Here is an 18,951-nt window from a genome sequence, read left to right as displayed (position 1 = left end):
GTAGACAAAGGAGCCAAAAGATTGACTCTGAGATGCTGGGGAAAGGAGGGAAAGGAGGGCAGTAACTAAAAGAGCAAGGACTGGGGGAGAGAAAATGAGCTGGGCTAACGTGGAAGACAGTGAAGGATGCAGCTTCCTCTAAGAGAGAAAAGGAAAAGAAAGGAGGATAAATAAACACTGGGCCCACAAAAAAGAGAGAAGGGGACTGAAGGAGATTGTTCCTGACATAGTAGATCTTCTCAGTAAAGTAGAAATCAAATCAGTGGATTAGGAGGTGGGAACCAGGGGGTGAGAGTGTCAGTATGCGAGGGAGAGTTTGAAACACCCATTGTACTATGTGTGTCTGGAAATCAACTGTGGAAATCAAGAGAGAATGAACAAGTACCACCTCACATCCAGGGCATTGAGACTCAACAGTCTGAATTCATGGAAGTTCAAATTAGCAGTATTCTTCAGCCAAGGAGCAAAAGGAGAAAGCATCGTGATCCCAAGCTAGGCACTGCATGGCATGGGCTGAGAGCTGAAAGGGTTTACAGTTAGCAGGGGTAGAGTTGAAATTTCCAATCATGGCTTGTACAAGAAAGCTAAGTGAGGCCAGAAAAAAAAATTAACAGATTCATTCATTTATCCTAGGAGGTCTCAGTAGAGATGCATATTTGCTACCCAGGATATGGAGAAATGGGAAAGGTGTAAGTGAAGTGTCTGTGGTTATAGACCAGGCTTACAAGGTCCAGGGACTCAGAAGTAAATCAGTCCCTGGGGGCCCCAATGCCCTGGTGTGACCTTATTAGTGAAGGGTTTGTATGCAAGAAAGTGGGAAGTTTGGGGCTGCCGTGAGTCATGGTTCTTAACCTCTTCAATCAAATTGTGAGGCAACCATGTATCAAGGACTGGAAGACAAAGGAGTGGTAATTTACAAAGAAGCAGGTATTCAGAGAGAATCAGTAAAAAGGGGGTACCTTTACTCTGACGAAACTGCCAGTTTACCATAAGACATATTTTACCTTTCTTTCTACAATAACCACCATTTTTTCTTACAGGATTATTTTAGGCAATGATATGATATAGTTGTCCTAGGTTTTTAAACACAAAGACCAGAAACCTTGTTTATAGTATGTCCTACCTCTGAATATGATCGTACTTAAACTTTCTTACAAAGGTTATTAGTTACAATTTTCTTTCAAATGTTTAGGAACAATGCCACAGAAACTTTTAATAAAGACACAATGAAAAACACAGTTGTAACTTCCTTTTGGCGAAGTGGGCATCCTCTTCGAAAGATGCCCATATTAAAAGATCTTGATATGTAGATTTTTGTCTGGCCTTTGCCTGCCAGTGGCCACAGGTGTCAAGTCATTGGGTCTTTAGTTAGCTGACATGTGACATGACACCATTCAAATGAGATTATTAGAGTCTTTGGGGAAGAGAGAAAAATCTATGATACCTAAATCACTAAAAGAAACTGAGTCACAAAATCATTTGTCCAAGGTCACAAAGTAAATTGGGGCCACAGGCAAGAATCTTTGGCTACTCTTTAGGAAGTTCATTTACTACCCCATTGATCTTGATATCACCTTACAGGCAGAATCTTGTGAAAGGTAGGATGATAACATCAACCTGAACAAAGTTCCAAAACTGCCCATCAGTTGTCCCTGCCCAAGAAAAAAAATTAACAGATTCGTTCAGTTATCCTAGGAAATGGGATACTTGAACTTCACTGAAAGCCTCTTGGTGAGACAGGTGGTGGGCATCCAGCTCTTCTCACCAGGCTGAACTCAGCTGAGTCTCTTATAAGGTCCTTGAAACTTCAGTGGAGAATTCCAGAAAGGGGACCTTTCAGCAATCATACCTTGTCCTCTGACTCTTCTCGCCCTCACAGCTCCGAATGTCCTGGCTCATTCGTGGAGTCTTGAGGGGAAACGTGTCCTTGGTGCTAGTGGAGAACAAAACCGGGAAGGAGCAAGGCAGGATGGTCTGGCATGTCGCCGCCTATGAAGGCTTGAGCCTGTGGCAGTGGATGGTGTTGCCTCTCCTCGATGTGTCTGACAGGTAGGCTCTATGCATCTCCCCCAATACCCTTCTCCTCTATCAGCTAAAATGAAAAAGAAATCATGCCTTCCCTTTCCCCGTGCCTTTTACCCAAGACACACATGCAGATGTGCCCACACACCGATATGTGCGCGTGCACGCACGTGCACACACACACACACACACTCTGCAGGTTACACACTTTCTGCAGTTTACAAGCTTCTCCAAGGGATGAAGAGGCTACTGAACACTTGTCTCGGGACCACTGGTATGGCCTGGTTGGCTACCCCCAGTGTCTGGAGGAAAAATAAAATTGAACAACTCACATTTCCCCCAAATAACAGTTTGGTTTTACATGTATATAGCATGTTCTCTTATATGATAGACTTTGCCTTACTTTCCCCACTTTTATTTTATCCTTATTAACAAGAAAACCTGCAAGGTAGGTAGGACAGGCCTTATCATCATTTACCACTCCTGTCCTGTTATAAGGGGAGAAACAGAATCAAAACGGTGAAGTGCCAGCAAGTTGGAATCGGAATTGGGACTGGTGCCCAGGCCCGACTCCGAGTCCAGTGTTCTCTGTTGAGTCAGGTCCTGAGGCAGGTTGATAAAGAGGATGGCAAATTCTTCAGTAAACAGAGGAATGCTTCTACTTGTGGTCTTAGTTCCTATTTGGGCTCTATCACTAATGGCCTCTGTGACTTTGAGCAACATCCTTGACTTCTTTGGGCCTCAGTTTCCTCACCTTTAAGCTGAGAGGTTTGAACTAGAAAATCATTAACTCCACGTGGCTCTGCAATGGAGCAGGAACCATGGAGTGTTCACTGCCACTTGTCTCCCAGGATGGCACTATTCTGCCACCTGCAGTCAGCCTGGAGCAAGCCGTACTTGAATAAAGATGGCCCTGCATGGCAGCACTCATGTGACCCTGCCGTATCATCCTGAACCCTCATGGTGGGTGCTGATCTGTTCCAGACAAAAGAGGGGCGAGGGGCCATTTCTATAAAGGGGACAGATAAATGGATCTGGATGGGGGACAGCCATCTTTTATGGGCTAAAAGTCAACCCTTACAACCCACAGCAGCCTCTGCCTGAGACTCCTAAAACACAATCAAATTACCATCCTGGTGGATCCACCTTCAAAAAATGAGGACAGAGGGCTCAAGGCAAGGTGGAGGGTGATGCTAGTTGGCATGCAGCTTTATAAGTGTAAAGCTGGTTTCACATTTTTCGCCCAAACCCCACAGTCTGCTATGTCCAAGAGCTCATAACTGCATCAGTGCTGTCAAAGGACAAAGGCATTGTCCTCACTCTGAGCACTAGCTACCCACTCCTTCAGATGTGTGTGGGTTAACGATCAAAGCCCAAGGACATTCCAAGGATCAGTGACCCCAGGACAAATGGATTTAAGTGGAGAAAGGAGGAAGTGTGAGCTCTGCCCACTATAGTTTAGTCTTTTGTCTTTGGGGATTGTGGAGCTGCATGCAGTTGGTGGAGAACAGGAGGGTGGTGAAAGAATCCTCCCTCCTGGGAGAGGTGAAATTAATTCAGATGAATCAAAGTGTTTTTTTTCTCCTCAATCCAGCAAGTCTTCTCTCTTTCATAGCTACTCCAGGGGATTTAAAGTAAGATGTTGACTCGGTTCACTCTCATCCTCTAGAGTTTCATTTGAAGGAGACTTCGTTCTCAGCCTCCTTCTTCCCTGTTAAAGGCTGTTTACCAGACTAACATTTCCAGTATTGATACTGAGACCAAACTGTCCAGTGGGGATTCCGACAAAAGACAGCTTGGTTTGATGATGCCTTGTGACCTAATAAGTGTACAATTACAGAAAACAAGAGTGCTTCCATTCGCTGGGAGCCTGCATACCACTGACATGCTCTGAGGTTGGAAGCTGCCCTCCCAGAGGTACAGATGATATGGGAAGCATCAAGATCCAGAGGCAAATGGTACTGAAGGAAAATGAAGTGCAGCAGTTTTCATTCGCTAAAATCAAACTAGACTGTAGATGTGACTGGCCCCAAAGAAACCAAAGAAGCACTCTAGATGAAAGGGCAGAGGCTTTGGAATCAAATAGTGCCAAGTTTGAAAACTGCCATGGTCACTTACTAGTTGTGTGACCTCAGCCAATTACTTAAGCTCTCTGAGCCTCAGTGTCCTCATCAGTAAAATGAGAATAATAACAGTATAATTTCACAAGATTGTTATGAGACTAAATGAAATGACTATTGAAAGAGTCTACACAGAGTATTAATAGATTTTATTTTCTGCATCTTTCAGTTATTTGGCCTCAGTAATAATTTATTAAACAAATAGCACAAATCACAACCACTGATCTTCCAAGTCAAGCCATGTTCTATAAAACAGACAACACAGTCTCCTCTTAGGTTTGGAGAAGTAAAGTGCTTGTTTAACTGCCTGATCCACACTAAATGCTCAACTACTAATAACTATAGTATAATAATGACAATATCTCCCCACCTAATGGCTCAGAAGGGTCTGGGATGGCCAATTTAGCAATATAACCAGTCATCCAACCCTTAGATAAAGGCGGGCTTCTTATGAATTTGTTTTCACAATGCTCTGTTGACTCCTTATGAGAAGTCACTGATGGAGGAGCAAAAAGCATTCTCTTCCCTCTTCCTTCAGGGAGAGTCAGCTATAGCTGCCCAGATTGCTAGAAGATGAAAATGGGAGAAAGGAGAAGGTAGAGGAAGACATAAGCAAGGAAAATAGAAAAATAGGATGGATAAAAGACAAAGAAAAACCAACTCTCTTCCTCCCACCTCTGAGGTAGGCGGTAACACCTGGCGCCACCTGCCCCACATCCCATGAAGCTTCCTTAGGCAGCTCCTGGCTTCAGCTATTCAGCACCTACTTTGTGGACAGCTCCCCAACCCTGAACCTTGAAAGCGGCAGAAATTTTATTCCCTATGCTGTCCCAAATCACCTCTGCTCCCAGGTTCCTCAACCTTCACACATTACAAAATTTTTAAAGTAACTTTATTAGGGCTTAGAGGTTAGCACTTAAGAGACTCCAGGCTCTAGTCAACGGTATTGGAAATCTGACCATTTTCCTATTTTGGAAATCCTTCTGTGGCTTCCTGTGGCTTTGGGGATGCCTTTAAAACTCCCTAATAAGACCTTTTTTAAGCCCATGTGTGATCTGTCCAGCGCTAGTTTCACCAGCTGCTTCTTAAACCATTCTTTCTCTCTCAATCTCCCCTTCCTTCCACTCAGTTGTACCATGCTACATTCTTACTTCTAGGCTTTTGCAGTTGCCATGTTAAAGGCATGTTAAAGTTAAAGGAAGAACTTAATGTTCTGCCTTTACTTTCCATCTCTCTAAATACTACTCTTCCTTCACTTAAAAAAAATTATCCCCAGACACCTATACTCTATATGTACCCACAATATATTCTCATGGCTCTTGAAACATCCCTATAATAATTTATCACTCTTTATTATCTTTTTTATATCTGAATATACAAACTAACAAGGTAGGGATTGTGTGTGTCTTATAAATCACTGCTTCCTGAATCTTTAGTACCATACTTAACATGTAGTATGCCCAATAAATATGCATTGACAGAATGATGTATTGAGGGAAATTGCATATACTTTCAAATTCCAGTTGAATAAACTGAGAATTTCACTTGATGGAATCTATCTAACATTCCTCCTCTCTTCAACCTGTGTCCGACAAAACAGATATGATTGCTTTATAATAAATACTACTGCAAAGTGTTCTGTATATCAGAGCAACACCTGTGTCCCATCAGATGAACCAAAACAGCATTTGTTACTCTGTGACAAGGAATTATCTTTAGGGACTTGCCTGGTACCTGTGCTTTCTTTGTCTCTGGTCACATTCCTGTTGGAATCACTTCATAAGAAAGACTTTGATCCTAATTGGGTGCCCTGGTCCTTGTGATAGAGAGAACTAGAGTTGTGCACTTGAGAGAAAAGGGCTCTAGTCAGATTGCCCCCACCACACAGTAGTCCTCGGGAAGGCTCGGTGAATAAGTCATAGGTACATAAAGCCTGGTGACAGGGAGGCATTGATCCATGGAATGATATTTCTTCTGTCCACTTACAAACATGTAAAGCGATAGAAGGAATGTAATAGTCTGTCATCATTACAGAATTATGTTAACTGTACAACCATAGTATAATGAGTAACAGGAAAAATCTCTAAGAGCAATGCCTAAGATGTTTTGAGCAGTGGCAATGTCCTCTGAATACAGATAAATGCTCTCAAGGTAATTTTGAAGGACAACACCAATTCAAATATCAGCTTGATGTGTGCTTAAAAATTATCTCATTACTTTACATCCACCTCACATAGCTACTTTTCCTCATCCTCTCCCCACTTTATCAGCCCCACCTCCCTCATTCAATTGCTGCTCTTTCTGCTGGAATTAATTCTACCTTTTCTCAAAATAGAAGAAAGGCAAGTTCTCTCTCCTGATTCTAATTGTCAGTCTCTTGCAGAGATATACCCCTAGTTTTTCCTCTCTCTATATATCTTACTAAATTAAACACAATGTTCCCACACTATCCTAAGCTTTGACACGCTTACAGAGCAGAAGCCATGCTAAGTTCAACTCGTTATGAGATGGATTTGGAAACACCATGGATCAAATCATGTCCCACAAATCACTGCAATTGTACAGTCAAATATAAAGTACACAACTTATCACACCTGTGCAGGCTCCATTCCTCAGCACTATCATTATAAAGGCTTTTAGCCGTACACTACATACATAGTCTAACAAGAAAAATTGTTCCTTCTGGAGATATTTAGATTTCCTGTTCCCTTTGCAATCCTTTGTCCTAAACGACAAGTGGTGTGTTTCACCAATGCATCTTTCAAATGAGATGGGTTAAACTGAGAGTTATGTCTTCATGCATTTAGACCAGAAACTCCATAGAGCCAAGATTTTTTTTCTATTCAATTTTTATCACCGACAGAATTCTCATTTTATGTGGGATGCTGTCAATAACAACACTCTCCCTTTGTGTAGCATCTTTCTGTGATGAGAAAGGCATTGAAGAGCGTCTTTTATTACTTGTTCTTATCTGTGTAGAGAAATAGTAGATTTCAGTGAGTGGAAATCCAGAGATTTCCGGTAAGCCTCAGTTTGCAGGTCTAGACACACCCCTAAAAAAATTCTGCTTAATTCACATTTCTGTTAATTGAATCACAGCATCCTGATAAAGCCATTTAAGAGTTATAAATGATGATTAGAGCTAGCGTTTGTTGAGTGCTTACTGCCTGCCAGTCATGTAACAAGTACTTAACATGCATTATCTAATTTCATCCTTAAAACAACCCCTTGGGGTAGATATTATAATTAATCCCCTTTTTAATATGAGAAATCTGAGGGCTATGGAGGTTAAATAATTTTCCCTTAAACTTTAGGCTGGTCTGCCTCCTATGTACTGCCTGAGGAAGTGATGCATGGGGCTTGGCATGTAGCAGAAACTTGAAAAACAGTAGCCATTGTTGTTGTTTTTTAATTTTTTAATTTAATTTTTAGAGACAAGGCCTCACTCTGTCACCCAGGCTGGAGTGCAGTGGCATGATCACAGCTCACTGCAGTGTCAAACTCCTGAGCTCAAGCAATCCTCCTGCCACAGCCTCCCTAGTAGCTAGAACTACAGGCGTGCACCACCATGCCCAGCTAATTAAAAAAAAAAATTGTACAGACAGGGTCTTGCTATGTTGCCTAGGCTGATCTTGAACTCCTGGCCTCAAGTGATCCTCTTGCCTGGGCCTCCCAAACTGCTGGGATAACAGGCAGGAGCCATCGCACCTGGTCAATAGCCATTGTTACTAACAAAATATTTAGGTTCTTGGTTATTTTTAGGCCACATCTCTTATCCATTTCACATTAGTTTACTGCTTTCCCTTTGCTTCAACCAGCTCCTGAAATTCATCCTAGCAATTCCCACCACCACCTCCTGCTGCAGACCATTCCCCGCACGGCCCCTGCCTGCCTGCCTCTCCTCTCAGGCTCACAGCTGGAGTCTCCCCTTATCCTTCCAGGCCATTGTGTCCCCTCTCCAGGTGCCTCCCACTCCGGCATGCCTTTGACTATCCCCACACCATGTGTTTCCTCCCCAGCACTGGAGCACAGTCTCTGATAGGCATTTTTAATTTGCATATCTATTCATGTACCAAGTCTAACCAAGGCATAAAAATAACCTTTAGTTATACTGTACATTTAACAAATCGCCCTTTCATTGAGAATAAAGTTCACTGCTGTAAGGATCAACAGGAGACCCCAGCCACAAGGTTGGTACACTGTGCTAAATAGAGCCCTGCTTCATCTTTAGGAGCACATGGCCCAGGGGTGCCCCCCACATCTGCTCTTGTCCTCCTGCCTGTCTGCCCCTCCTAGGAGCATTTTCATCTGTAACTGCTCCGCCTCTAACTCCACCTCAGGAAAAAGGGATGCCTATGAGGAGGAGCAGACATCACTCGCCTACTGACCCTCTGCTGGACAAGCTGGCTGACAGTCCCAGCAGCTCCTGCGCCTCCTCACTCTGCCCACATCTCCCCATCCACGGCAGCCCTGTGCCCCCTTCCAGGGTGCTTGGCTCCTTCACAACACAAGGTTCTCACTCAGGCTCGCATCTGAGCAGCTAGGGTAGATGTCATTCCCTAATTTCAGCTGAAAAGACAGAGGCCCAGAGGGGTTTAAGAACTTGCCATTAAACATAGAGGCCCCTCTGTGGAGGTCCTTCCTCCCCTCCTTTCACTTCACGAGACAGCATCCTGTGAAGGTTTCCAAGCATGAAATGTACAAACCTCCAAAATCCCCTGAGGCATTATGTCCACCAACATTTACTGCAGTGTTGGGTGCCAGGTGATGGGCACACCCAGACAAGCAATACAGCCCCAGCTCTCAATCTCCATCTAATTAGGGAGGCTGGCGGGAAGACAAGACCACGGCATCACAGAACACGAGTCCTGGGAGCTGGAGCAGAAGGAGCCCAGTAAAGCCCCAGCTGTTGGGGCTCCTTGCTTCCCAACAGGCACCTGTCTGGTTGCCAGTGGTGAGTCCTCCCTCTGCTGGGCATTCCCACACGAATAGAAGCAGAGAGCAATGACTACCACCCCAGGTAGACATGCATTTGCTCATCCACTCTCAGCAGACACATGCCAGGAACTTACCCCAGAGTAGACCTGCAGGCTCCAAAGTTGGAAATGGGGCAGAAGGGAGAGGAATGTCTCACCTGCCTCTCGCGAGGGGAGTTGAATTGCCCTGATGCCATATATATATATACACTTAGGCAAAACCGATTCGTTCACATGGTGAGTGAAGAAAATAAAAGGTGCTCTCTACTCATGACCTGCTGTGGCAGCACAAGTGTCCCTTCCCGAAGCTACAGGGGCTGGGGACATTGACATGCTTATTGGCATTAGGCTGAGTCAGTTCTTTGAACTGGGAGAAAATGGTGGTCTCAGAGGCAATTATAAGCCATGCAGGGTAAATTACATTGACTAAACCCATCAAGTCTTTCCCCAAGGGGTTCAAAACACTTCAAGTGCACACCATGCTTTATTCTCCTTACCTTGATGATAAGGGACGTGGGAGCAGAGTCCCTGGCTTCATCAGCAGCCTGCAAGGCTGAGGGGACTTTGGCAGGGCTGGGGTCCCACCTGGAGCCCATGGCCTGTGCCTCTTGGGGCCATAATGATCGAGGACAGGAGAAGAGGGATGGCATTCTCACTGAACCAAGCATCTGTGCCCGTTTATCTTCATCATTATAAGTCAGATTTTAATGACCTTAGTTTATCAATGAGAAACTGTGACTCAGAGTAGTTTAAATAATCTGTCCAGAGGCACACAACTAAGAAGCAGAAGAGTCAGGATTCAAAACACAATTTTCTTTTATTTATTTATTTATTTATTTATTTATTTATTTATTTATTTATTTTTTTGAGAAGGAGTCTCCCTCTGTCGCCCAGGCTGGAGTGCAGTGGCACCATCTCAGCTCATTGCAACCTCCACCTCCTGGGTTCAAGCGATTCTCCTGCCTCAGCCTCCCAAGTAGCTGGGCTTACAGGCATCCACCACCACGCCTGGCTAATTTTTGTATTTTTTAGTAGAGATGGGATTTCACCATGTTGGCCAGGCTTGTCTTGAACTCCTGAGCTCAAGTGATCTGCCCGCCTCAGCCTCCCAAAGTGCTGGGATTACAGGCATGAGCCACCGCACCCAGTTCAAGGCACAGTTTTCTAGCTCAAACACTCACCCTTTTCCAAACACCATGCTTTCATGGTCAAAAAATTTTTTCCATGAATCTCAGTGACAACAGGCAGCAGGTGTTATCACACATCAGCAGCTGATATGAAAGAACTGTGCTATGGCGCCTAGGCCTGGGCCACCTGAAGACCCTGTCAGCCGTGAAGAGGTCAGCCTGTACCTGCAGGGCCCAGCCATGCAGTTAAGAGCCAAAGAAAGGACTCTGACTTGTAGGAGCACACCAGGCACAGACTGGGGTGCCAGATCAGTCATCCAGAGAGGGATATGGGTGTGTGGTCAGGACCCAAGTGAAAAACCAGGACAAGACGAGGCCCCAGGCCTCCAGAACATGACAGAAACCCGGTCAATGAGCCTAAAGCCTATGCAAATAGCACATTAGCACAGGAGAGCTGCATCTGCATCCCGAGCCCTGGGCCAAGCTCCTTTATGCCCCCTGCCCTACTCAGACCTGTCCCTAGTCCTGGAGTAGTGCAGGAGTGTGCTGCAGAGGGGAAGGCTATAGCTGTGAAGGAAGAATACTGCAGATTCCTGCAGCCAGTCAAGGACCAAGTTCACCCATCCCTCCCACCCCCATGAGTGTGTTAGTCATCAACCCAACAATGCCAGGTGCACTGAACACACCTGAGTACCTAGGTATGTGCCACATGTATGTGAGAGGGGGTGACACTACCTGAAGTAACATTACATCTCCACTCCAGGAGCTGTAAACAAAAGAAATGTTATTTCCTGCTCGTGTGAAATTAAAAATAAGCATGCTGGTTGGTGGGTGGCCTTCCACCTGATCATTCAGGGATCCAGGCCCCTTCCACCCTTTTCCTTCCCTGAATGGAAAGGATTCCAAGGCCAGAGAAAAGGGTGGGCCTTTCCTCTGGCCTTGGAATCCTTTCCATTCAGCCAGTCGGTGGGCAAAGAGCTTAGGAAGCCTTGAACAGGAAGATTTTTATGAATCATCACTTCTGCTCCGCTCACATTGCCTCCTTTGCCATCTGCTCTCTTTGGATTTCCTTACTGACTTTTTGTTTGCCTTATCTGGGCTGGTTTTTATGCTTCGTACCTAGGAAACAAAAATTTTCAGTCATTGGGATTTTTTTTCAGGGTTAGAATTACCACACTACCTGTAATATCATACTGTGGCTTCTGTATCATCATTTAAGGTTTCTGTCTAAAATTGGCACATGTAAGAATCAAAGAAAATGGTTACATAATTCAGTTGAAGGTCTTGGTCATTAGATGTTAGGCATCTATTGTGTGTAAGACACAAGGCCAACAGTAACGCAGAATGATGTTGACCTGTTAAGTATTCTTTGAAACATGGCCTAAATGTATTTTATTATGAGCTCATTTTTGACTATTGTAAATATTAGTGGTTTACAATGTGCTTTCGTCGTATTTCCTAAAAATTCAAGCAGTGAGAAATAAGACTCCTCTGAATTTAGTAACTCAAAACTGATAACATTAAATGTGACTTGGAAAAACTCTAGAATACATGGTGCACACAAGAAGCGTTCAAGGTTCTGTGGATGAGTTTCTTAGCTTTTGCAATGCACCATGTTTCTCAAAGCTTGTTTTCATTAATAAAACATTTTATAATGTAAAAAAAGTCACATGGCCACACCTACTGCAAAGGGTGCTGGGGAATGTAGTCTAGCTGTGTGCCCAAATAAAAGAAGTGAGTTAGATTTGAAAAAAAAAAAAAAATGAGATGGTGTGTCACAGACTAAGTCAAGGAATATAGCTCTCATGTCTGGCCATCTATCAGAGTGTCACTTGAGAATGTCTCTTCTTCATTTAGCTATGCTGAGCATTGATCACGCTTCTTCTCCACAAAGCCTCATAACTCAAGGCTGAAATCAATTCCAGGTTCTATTCTAAGGTATGAATGTTTCATTCCCAAATTTTTATGATGCAGCAAAATCTTACTTTCTGGCAGAAACCACCTCAGAATTTCCCCCCACCCCCGAATTTGTCATTTCTAAAAACAAAAAATAAATAAATAAACAAGAGAAAGTGCTTTTGAAAAGGCTTAAAACTAGCAGGACAGTGTAGGACGATGGTTTCCAAACTTGGATGAACATTATGATCACCTGGAAAACGTATTTTTTTCTTTCAGAGCCCCAGATCTCATACACAAAGATTCTGATTCACAGATGACATATTGGGACCAGGAATCTGTATTTTTTAAAGTTCCCCAGTTGACTTTCATGCGTAACCACATTTGGAAGTCACTGGTATATAATGGCAGATCCAGGTATCTGGATCTGGGCAAGACAGGGAATCAAGAAGTGACTGGAGAAATGTCATTGGCTGACACATTGTCGGCAAACATATATTAAGCCTCCATCAAGCACAGAGGATGGAAAAGGATGTTTGATCAGCTCTTGCCAGATCACAGGACCTCCACAGGCAAACAGTAGCACACAGGCACCCTGCAGGTTCCAACAGATCATGACCAGGGTTCAGCAGGTGCATTGACGTCCAGATACAGGAGCAGTCAGATGAACCATCACGGAGAAAATGAGCTTTTTATAAACTGGTGCTTGAGGAAAATTTAAGTCTTAGAGAAATGGAAAAGGGACAAGGCATTCCAGAGAAGGCCTTCAGGGAAAGCAGAGGCTTGGAGATGCAGAAATGTTTTTTGTGGGTTCAAGAACAGCCAACCTGGTTGTGTCAGAGAATCCTGAGAAATCTTTTTGGGAGAGAGTGAGTGTGAATATTAGGCCAGGTGTTTTGGATTTAGGAATACAGGTAATAAACAGCCACTGAAGGCCAGGTGCGGTGGCTCATAACTGTAATCCCAGCACTTTGGGAGGCCAAGGCAGGCAGATCACTTGAGGTCAGGAGTTCAAGACCAGCCTGGCCAACATGGTAAAACCCCGTCTTTACTAAAAATACAAAAATTAACTGGACATGGTGGCATGCACCTGTAATTCCAGTTCCTTGGGAGGCTGAGGCTGGAGAATCACTTGAACCTGGGAGGCGGAGATTGCAGGGAGCTGAAATCGCACCACTGCATTCCAGCCTGGGCGACAGAAAGAGACTCCATTCCAAAAAAAAAAAGAGCCACTGAGGGCCAGGCACCATGGCTCACACCTGTAAACCCAGCACTTTGGGAGGCCAAAGTGGGCAGAACACTTGAGGCCAGAAGCTCAAGACATATGTTGGCTCCTGGCCAACATAGTGAAACCCCATCTCTACTAAAAATATAAAAAATTAGCTGGGCAAGGTGGCGTACCTGTAATCCCAGCTACTCGGGAAGCTAAGGCACAAGAATTGAACCTGGAAAGTGGAGGTTGCAGTAAGCCAAGATCACACCACTGCACTCCAGCCTGGGTGGCAGAGCTAGACTCTGTCTCAAAAAAGAAGAAAAAATAAGAAAGCCACTGAGCACGGAGATAGGCTGGAGGGCGGGAAGCACAGAGCATGGGGGATATTGGAAGGTCTTTTGAGGGGCCCAGTGGCAAGTGATTGGAGCCTCAGTGTGAAGCTCAGAAAGCGTGAAGAAAGAACCTGGAGGAGAAGAACCTTCTTCCTCTGCTGTCTTCCAAATGGCACCACTGGCTCAGGACAGCCTTGGGCGAACTTAAGTAGACATGGGCTACTTAAAATTATTAAGTGAACTTAATTAGGTTTGTCAATCCCTAAGGTTGGCAGGGTAGCAAATAAGGCAATATATTCACTGTCCATCGACAGCCTGTTGCCTGAACGAGATTGTGCATTTTCTGAGCTGTACGTGAGCAGCTTCAGCCGTTCAAGAAGAGGAGAAGAGATGCGGCCGGTGGCTCAGCACACGATGTGCAACCAGGCATTGATATATAGAAATCAAACATTCATAATTCTGGAAGGATCTGGCCCTGTTTCTTTCTCAGAAAATATCCCAGATCATTGGAGCAAGGAGTAGATTAGCAATTCTGAGCTTTAAATCTTATTTCTAACGCTGATTTACTGTGACGTTTGGGACAAGTTGTTGCTTTTGATTGCTAAGTTTCCACAATCAAGAGTGCAAAGCAGTGAGACAGATCCGGCCCATGAGCTTGGTTTAGGAGGCAGTTGCTCAAAATGGCACTAAGTGAACCTCTTTAAAATAACAGGATGTTCGAATCTGCTCAAGATTTTCTTGGTAACATCCACAGCTTGGCTTACAAGTCAACAGATGTGTATGTTTTTCATAATTCTTAATGTCTCGGAAAATGTAGCCCTGTGTTCTCAGCCCCTTCTTTCCCTAAACACAAAGCCTGCAATTTAGGAGATAATTGAGCTTCCAATATTTGAAGCAAAGAATCCAGTTCTATCTATGCTGCCCCCACCCCCGCGCCAGGAACCTCATCAATGCTCATAACTTCCACCCTTACCTCTATGCAGATGACTCAAATATCTTTATGTCCACCTGGGTTCCACACCTGGGTTTCCAGCTGCCTGACTGGTGTCCCACCCACACCTTCCACATTGCTCCCACCAGCACACCCCACTGCCTAGTGAGAGTTTCGCCCATAGTTCTACCATTCTCCAAGACTTTTCATTATTTTAAGTCTTTCTTGACTTCTCTCTCATTGTCCAGATGCAATGTTTTTCCAGCTTGAGTAGCTTCTAGCTCTATAGGGGGCACAACTAAAAGAGACTTCAGCAATTCCCGGTCAGTAAATAACGTGAATCACATCACTGACTGAAATCCTCGGGAGCAAGGTCCACGTCTTACACATCTCTACACTCCTAGCTATAGGCACAAGTATGTGATTTACAGTACCTGCGCAGATAATCTCTGCTCAAAGAAAGAGGGGGAGAGATGTCATTTGTGGCACTGCTTGAGGAAGCACATGTTACTAGTAAACATATAATATAAAACAGGAGCAATAAATTAGCATCTCATGCTAAACAAAGGGTTCCATTGTTGGGGGAAAAAAACACATCTTACATAGATTCTTTTAAAAACCAAGATGGCACCTTAAAAGTTTTGGCAACTTGCCCAGGGCCCCACCAACTATATAGACCCAGTCTTCACTCCACTCTACTTTTTGAAACTAGTCCTCACCAAGCAGAAAAGACTTCTAATTTACTCTCATAAAGATGCTTTTGGTCAGGCGAGAAGAGAGGTAGAAACCACCCTTTTTCTGGGTCTTCTCGCCATTGTCAGTGCTGCCATCTCGGTACCATGTCAGCTCCCCAAGCCGCAAGCCAACACAGCAACAGAGGACAGAGGAAATGTTTGTGTGTTCCAAGAAACGGGGAGCAGACATCCCTGTCCCTCCAAGAAGAATGGATGGCGGGCCTTTCTAGCTCCAGACAGCCCTCATGCCCCCAGTCATCCCAAGGAGCTTGCTCTACTTTTCCGATGGTACGGAGTACATATGAGACTAAATGAGATTCGACAAGTTGGATGGTTCTGCAAGAGATGATGGGAAAATTGGCCAGGGATGCAAGAGGCCTGAGCTCTCATCCCACATCCGCTACTATCTCCATTGCAACCACACAAGTCAAAAGAATGGCAGGGGCCCAAGAGGCACTTGAATCCTTCCCTAGGGCACTTGGCATTTGACTGTAGGTCGAGTATTTTTGTGCACAGGCCCCTCGCTTGCTGGACCATGGCTCCAGGAAGCAATGTCTTTCCTCATCAAAACCCAGGGCCCAGCAGAGCTCAACATACACTACACAGATTTCGAGAATGAAAGAAAAACAGGAACTTGCCAGAGATGGGTCTCCATCTGCTGTGGTGGAACATCCTTGCAGCAGGCCTTTCCAGTTGGTGACACACCAGAGCACAGGAGGGAGCCAGGAGCCTTTAGGCTGAGCCCCCGAAAGTGAGCACAGAATGCCTGGAAGCCTCAAACTGAGAATGTGGAAGGGTCTGAGTGATTCTCCATGCTTGCTCAGCCTGGCTGAAAATTCATTTTCTCTCTTATTTCTAGAAGGGCTTCCTCACCAAGCCAGACTCATTGTGAAAGATCTCTATGGCCCTTGAAAGCCCTGGAAGCTCTGTGTTGACTTTTACTCATGCTCCTGGTGTCGTTATGCCTAGAGGGGAAACCAAGGCAGGAGGTGGTAAATTACTTCTAAGAGTGGGATGGAGCCAGGAGGGGTATGTTCCCAACTCCTGAGTATGGCCTTGAATGTCCAGCTCATCTCCAGTTTACTGTGCAGAAGTTAAAGACTCCTAGAGCCAAGACACACATTCCTAGCCATGATTGCGTTTGACATGGCCAAGGATGGTCCCAGGAATCCAAAGCGGTCCATCAGCTCCCATCTTCATCTTAGAGCTGAAGTCCATTATACAGATAATAGGAGGGATGTGGCAGGGCTTTTTCTTCACATATATTATTCTAATAGATATGCCTACTGCGACCCAAGCTTCATGACAGCCCATTTTAGAAGACTTTTGCAGAGCAAATTAACTGTGCAGCGAGAAATTGGAGAAAGTGTTTTTCCTCTACAGTACCTGCCAGCTCTATCCTAAGCAGCCAGGGCCCAGACAAGCACCAGCAGCAAAAAGGGATGCAGGACACTCCCTTCTTCCGAGCCCACTAAATGGCCAAGGAAGGAATGTGAGACATGGTGCCCAGCTGGCAAATGCCTTCTACCCAGTCCAGCCACTCCATCCTGCTCTGCCCTCCAAAGCTTCGCCATTCCCTCCATCCACATCAGACACAAACCTTTCTGTCAGCTACTTAAAATCATTAAGTGAACTTAATTAGGTTTGTCAATCCCTAAGGCTGGCAGGGTGGCAAATAAGGCATTATATTCGCTGTCCATTAACAGTCTGTTGCCTGAATGAGATGGTACATTTTCTGAGTCGTACGTGAGCAGCATCGGCATTTCTCAGGCAGAGATCTGCCCGATGAGTCTCCGAGGCGCCCAATTCTGAAGCTGCCCTTCCAGACTTGGCCCACTGCCCAGATGGCCACCTCCCAGATCCCCGCTGAGTCTGTTTTCAAAAGGCGTCTCTGTAGAGCTGAATGAGAAGAGTCAGGGCGAATGCATTCTTTATGCAAAGCCAGCCTCCAACCAAGATCTCTAGCCAAGTCTGTTTTAATAACAAGTTCCAAACTCCACCGGCTGGAAAAAAGAAAAGAAAAAGCAACAACAACCCATGCAATCAAAAGTGTCCTCTTTGAAGAAACAGAAAGAGCTGAGCAGGTACGAACTATGAAGGGTCAGGAGCAAAATCTCTGCTGCTAAGCACTGGGAAAGAGAGGAGACTCCCCTGCCACGTTCTTAGGCAACACAGATTGGTGAGAGAGTGGAAGGAACCCCAAAGGGCTAACGCTTCCCTTCTCCTTGACCAGGCTGCCCACAGAGAGGAAGGGGAAGCCTCTTCTATCCTGGGGAACCCAGCCTCCTTTCCCCATCCAGAGCTGAGGTTTCAAAGTGGGGCAGAGGAGTAACTATGTTCTCTAGGATGGCCTGTCCCTCGCAGTCTTGGCAGTGATGTGTCAGGGTCCTTGCTTTCTTTCAGCCAAACCCAGGGTGGCTCATCTGGTATATGTCAGAACCTTCCCTCAGTCCCAGAGTGGTCTACATGCCAGAACTTTCCTTCAATCCTAGAATGGACCACCTGGTACATACTAGAACTTTTCCTCAGTCCCACAGTGGTCTACCTGGTACATGCCAGAACTTTTCTTCAATCCCAGAATGGATCACCTGGTACATACTAGAACTTTCCCTCGGTCCGAGAGTGGTTCACCTGGTACATACCAGAACCTTCCCTCAGTCCCAGAGTGGTACACCTGGCATATGCCACAACCTCCCCTCAGTCCCAGAGTGGTCCACCTGGTACATACCAGAACCTTCCCTCAGTCCCAGAGTGGTATACCTGGCACATACCATAACCTCCCCTCAGTCCCAGAGTGGTCTACTTGGTAAACACTAGAATTTTCTCCCTCAGTCCAAGAGGGTCCACCTGATACATGCCAGAACTTTCCCTCAATCCCAGAATGGACCACCTGGTACATACTAGAACTTTCCCTTGGTCCCAGAGTGGGCTACCTGGTACATTCTAGAACTTTCCCTCAGTCCCAGAGTGGTCCACCTGGTACATACTAGAACTTTCCCTGAATCCCAGAGTGGTCCATCTGTATATACCACAACCTCCCCTCAGTCCCACAGTGTTCTACCTGGTACATACTAGAACTTTCCGTCAGTCCCAGAATGGACCACCTGGTACATACTAGAACTAACCCCCGGTCCCAGAGTGGTCCACCGGGTACATTCTAGAACTTTCCTCCCATCCCAGAGTGGTCCACCTGGTACATACCAGAACCTTCCCTCAGTCCCAGAGTGGTACACCTGGCATATACCATAACCTCCCCTCAGTCCCAGAGTGGTCTACATGGTACATACTAAAACTTTCACTCAATCCCAGAATGGACTACCTGGTAGACACTAAAACGTTCCCTCAGTCCCAGAGTAGTCCATCTGTATATACCATAACCTCCCCTCAGTCCCAGAGTGGTCTACATGGTACATACTAGAACTTTCCCTCAGTCCCAGAGTGGGCCACCTCATACATGATAGAACTTTCCCACAGCCCCACAGCAGTCCACCTGGTACATGCCAGGACTCTTGCTCAGTCCCAGAGTGTGTCAGGTCCCAACTAAGTGTCAGGTCTACCTGGTATATAACAGAATTTTCCCTCAGTCCCTTGGTAGTCTAC

General features: G+C 45.3%; 1 protein-coding gene across 2 annotated transcripts in view; it reads left to right on the top strand.

Annotated features, from left to right (window-relative positions):
- Positions 1-18,951, top strand: part of ALK (ALK receptor tyrosine kinase) — a 728,813-nt gene that overhangs the window by 622,650 nt on the left and 87,212 nt on the right. For both annotated transcript variants that reach the window (XR_001738688.3, NM_004304.5), the window contains exon 9: positions 1,880-2,049. Coding sequence is in view for 1 of the 2 variants with exons in the window: in NM_004304.5 (NP_004295.2) it covers positions 1,880-2,049 (170 nt within the window). In the remaining variant the exon portion in view is untranslated. The remainder of the gene's footprint in view (positions 1-1,879; positions 2,050-18,951) is intronic.

This window comes from Homo sapiens, chromosome 2 (genome assembly GCF_000001405.40).
Source record: "Homo sapiens chromosome 2, GRCh38.p14 Primary Assembly".
NCBI classification, from domain to species: domain Eukaryota; kingdom Metazoa; phylum Chordata; class Mammalia; order Primates; family Hominidae; genus Homo; species Homo sapiens.
Note: the sequence above shows the minus strand (reverse complement) of the source record. Positions and strands in the feature narration are given on the sequence as shown.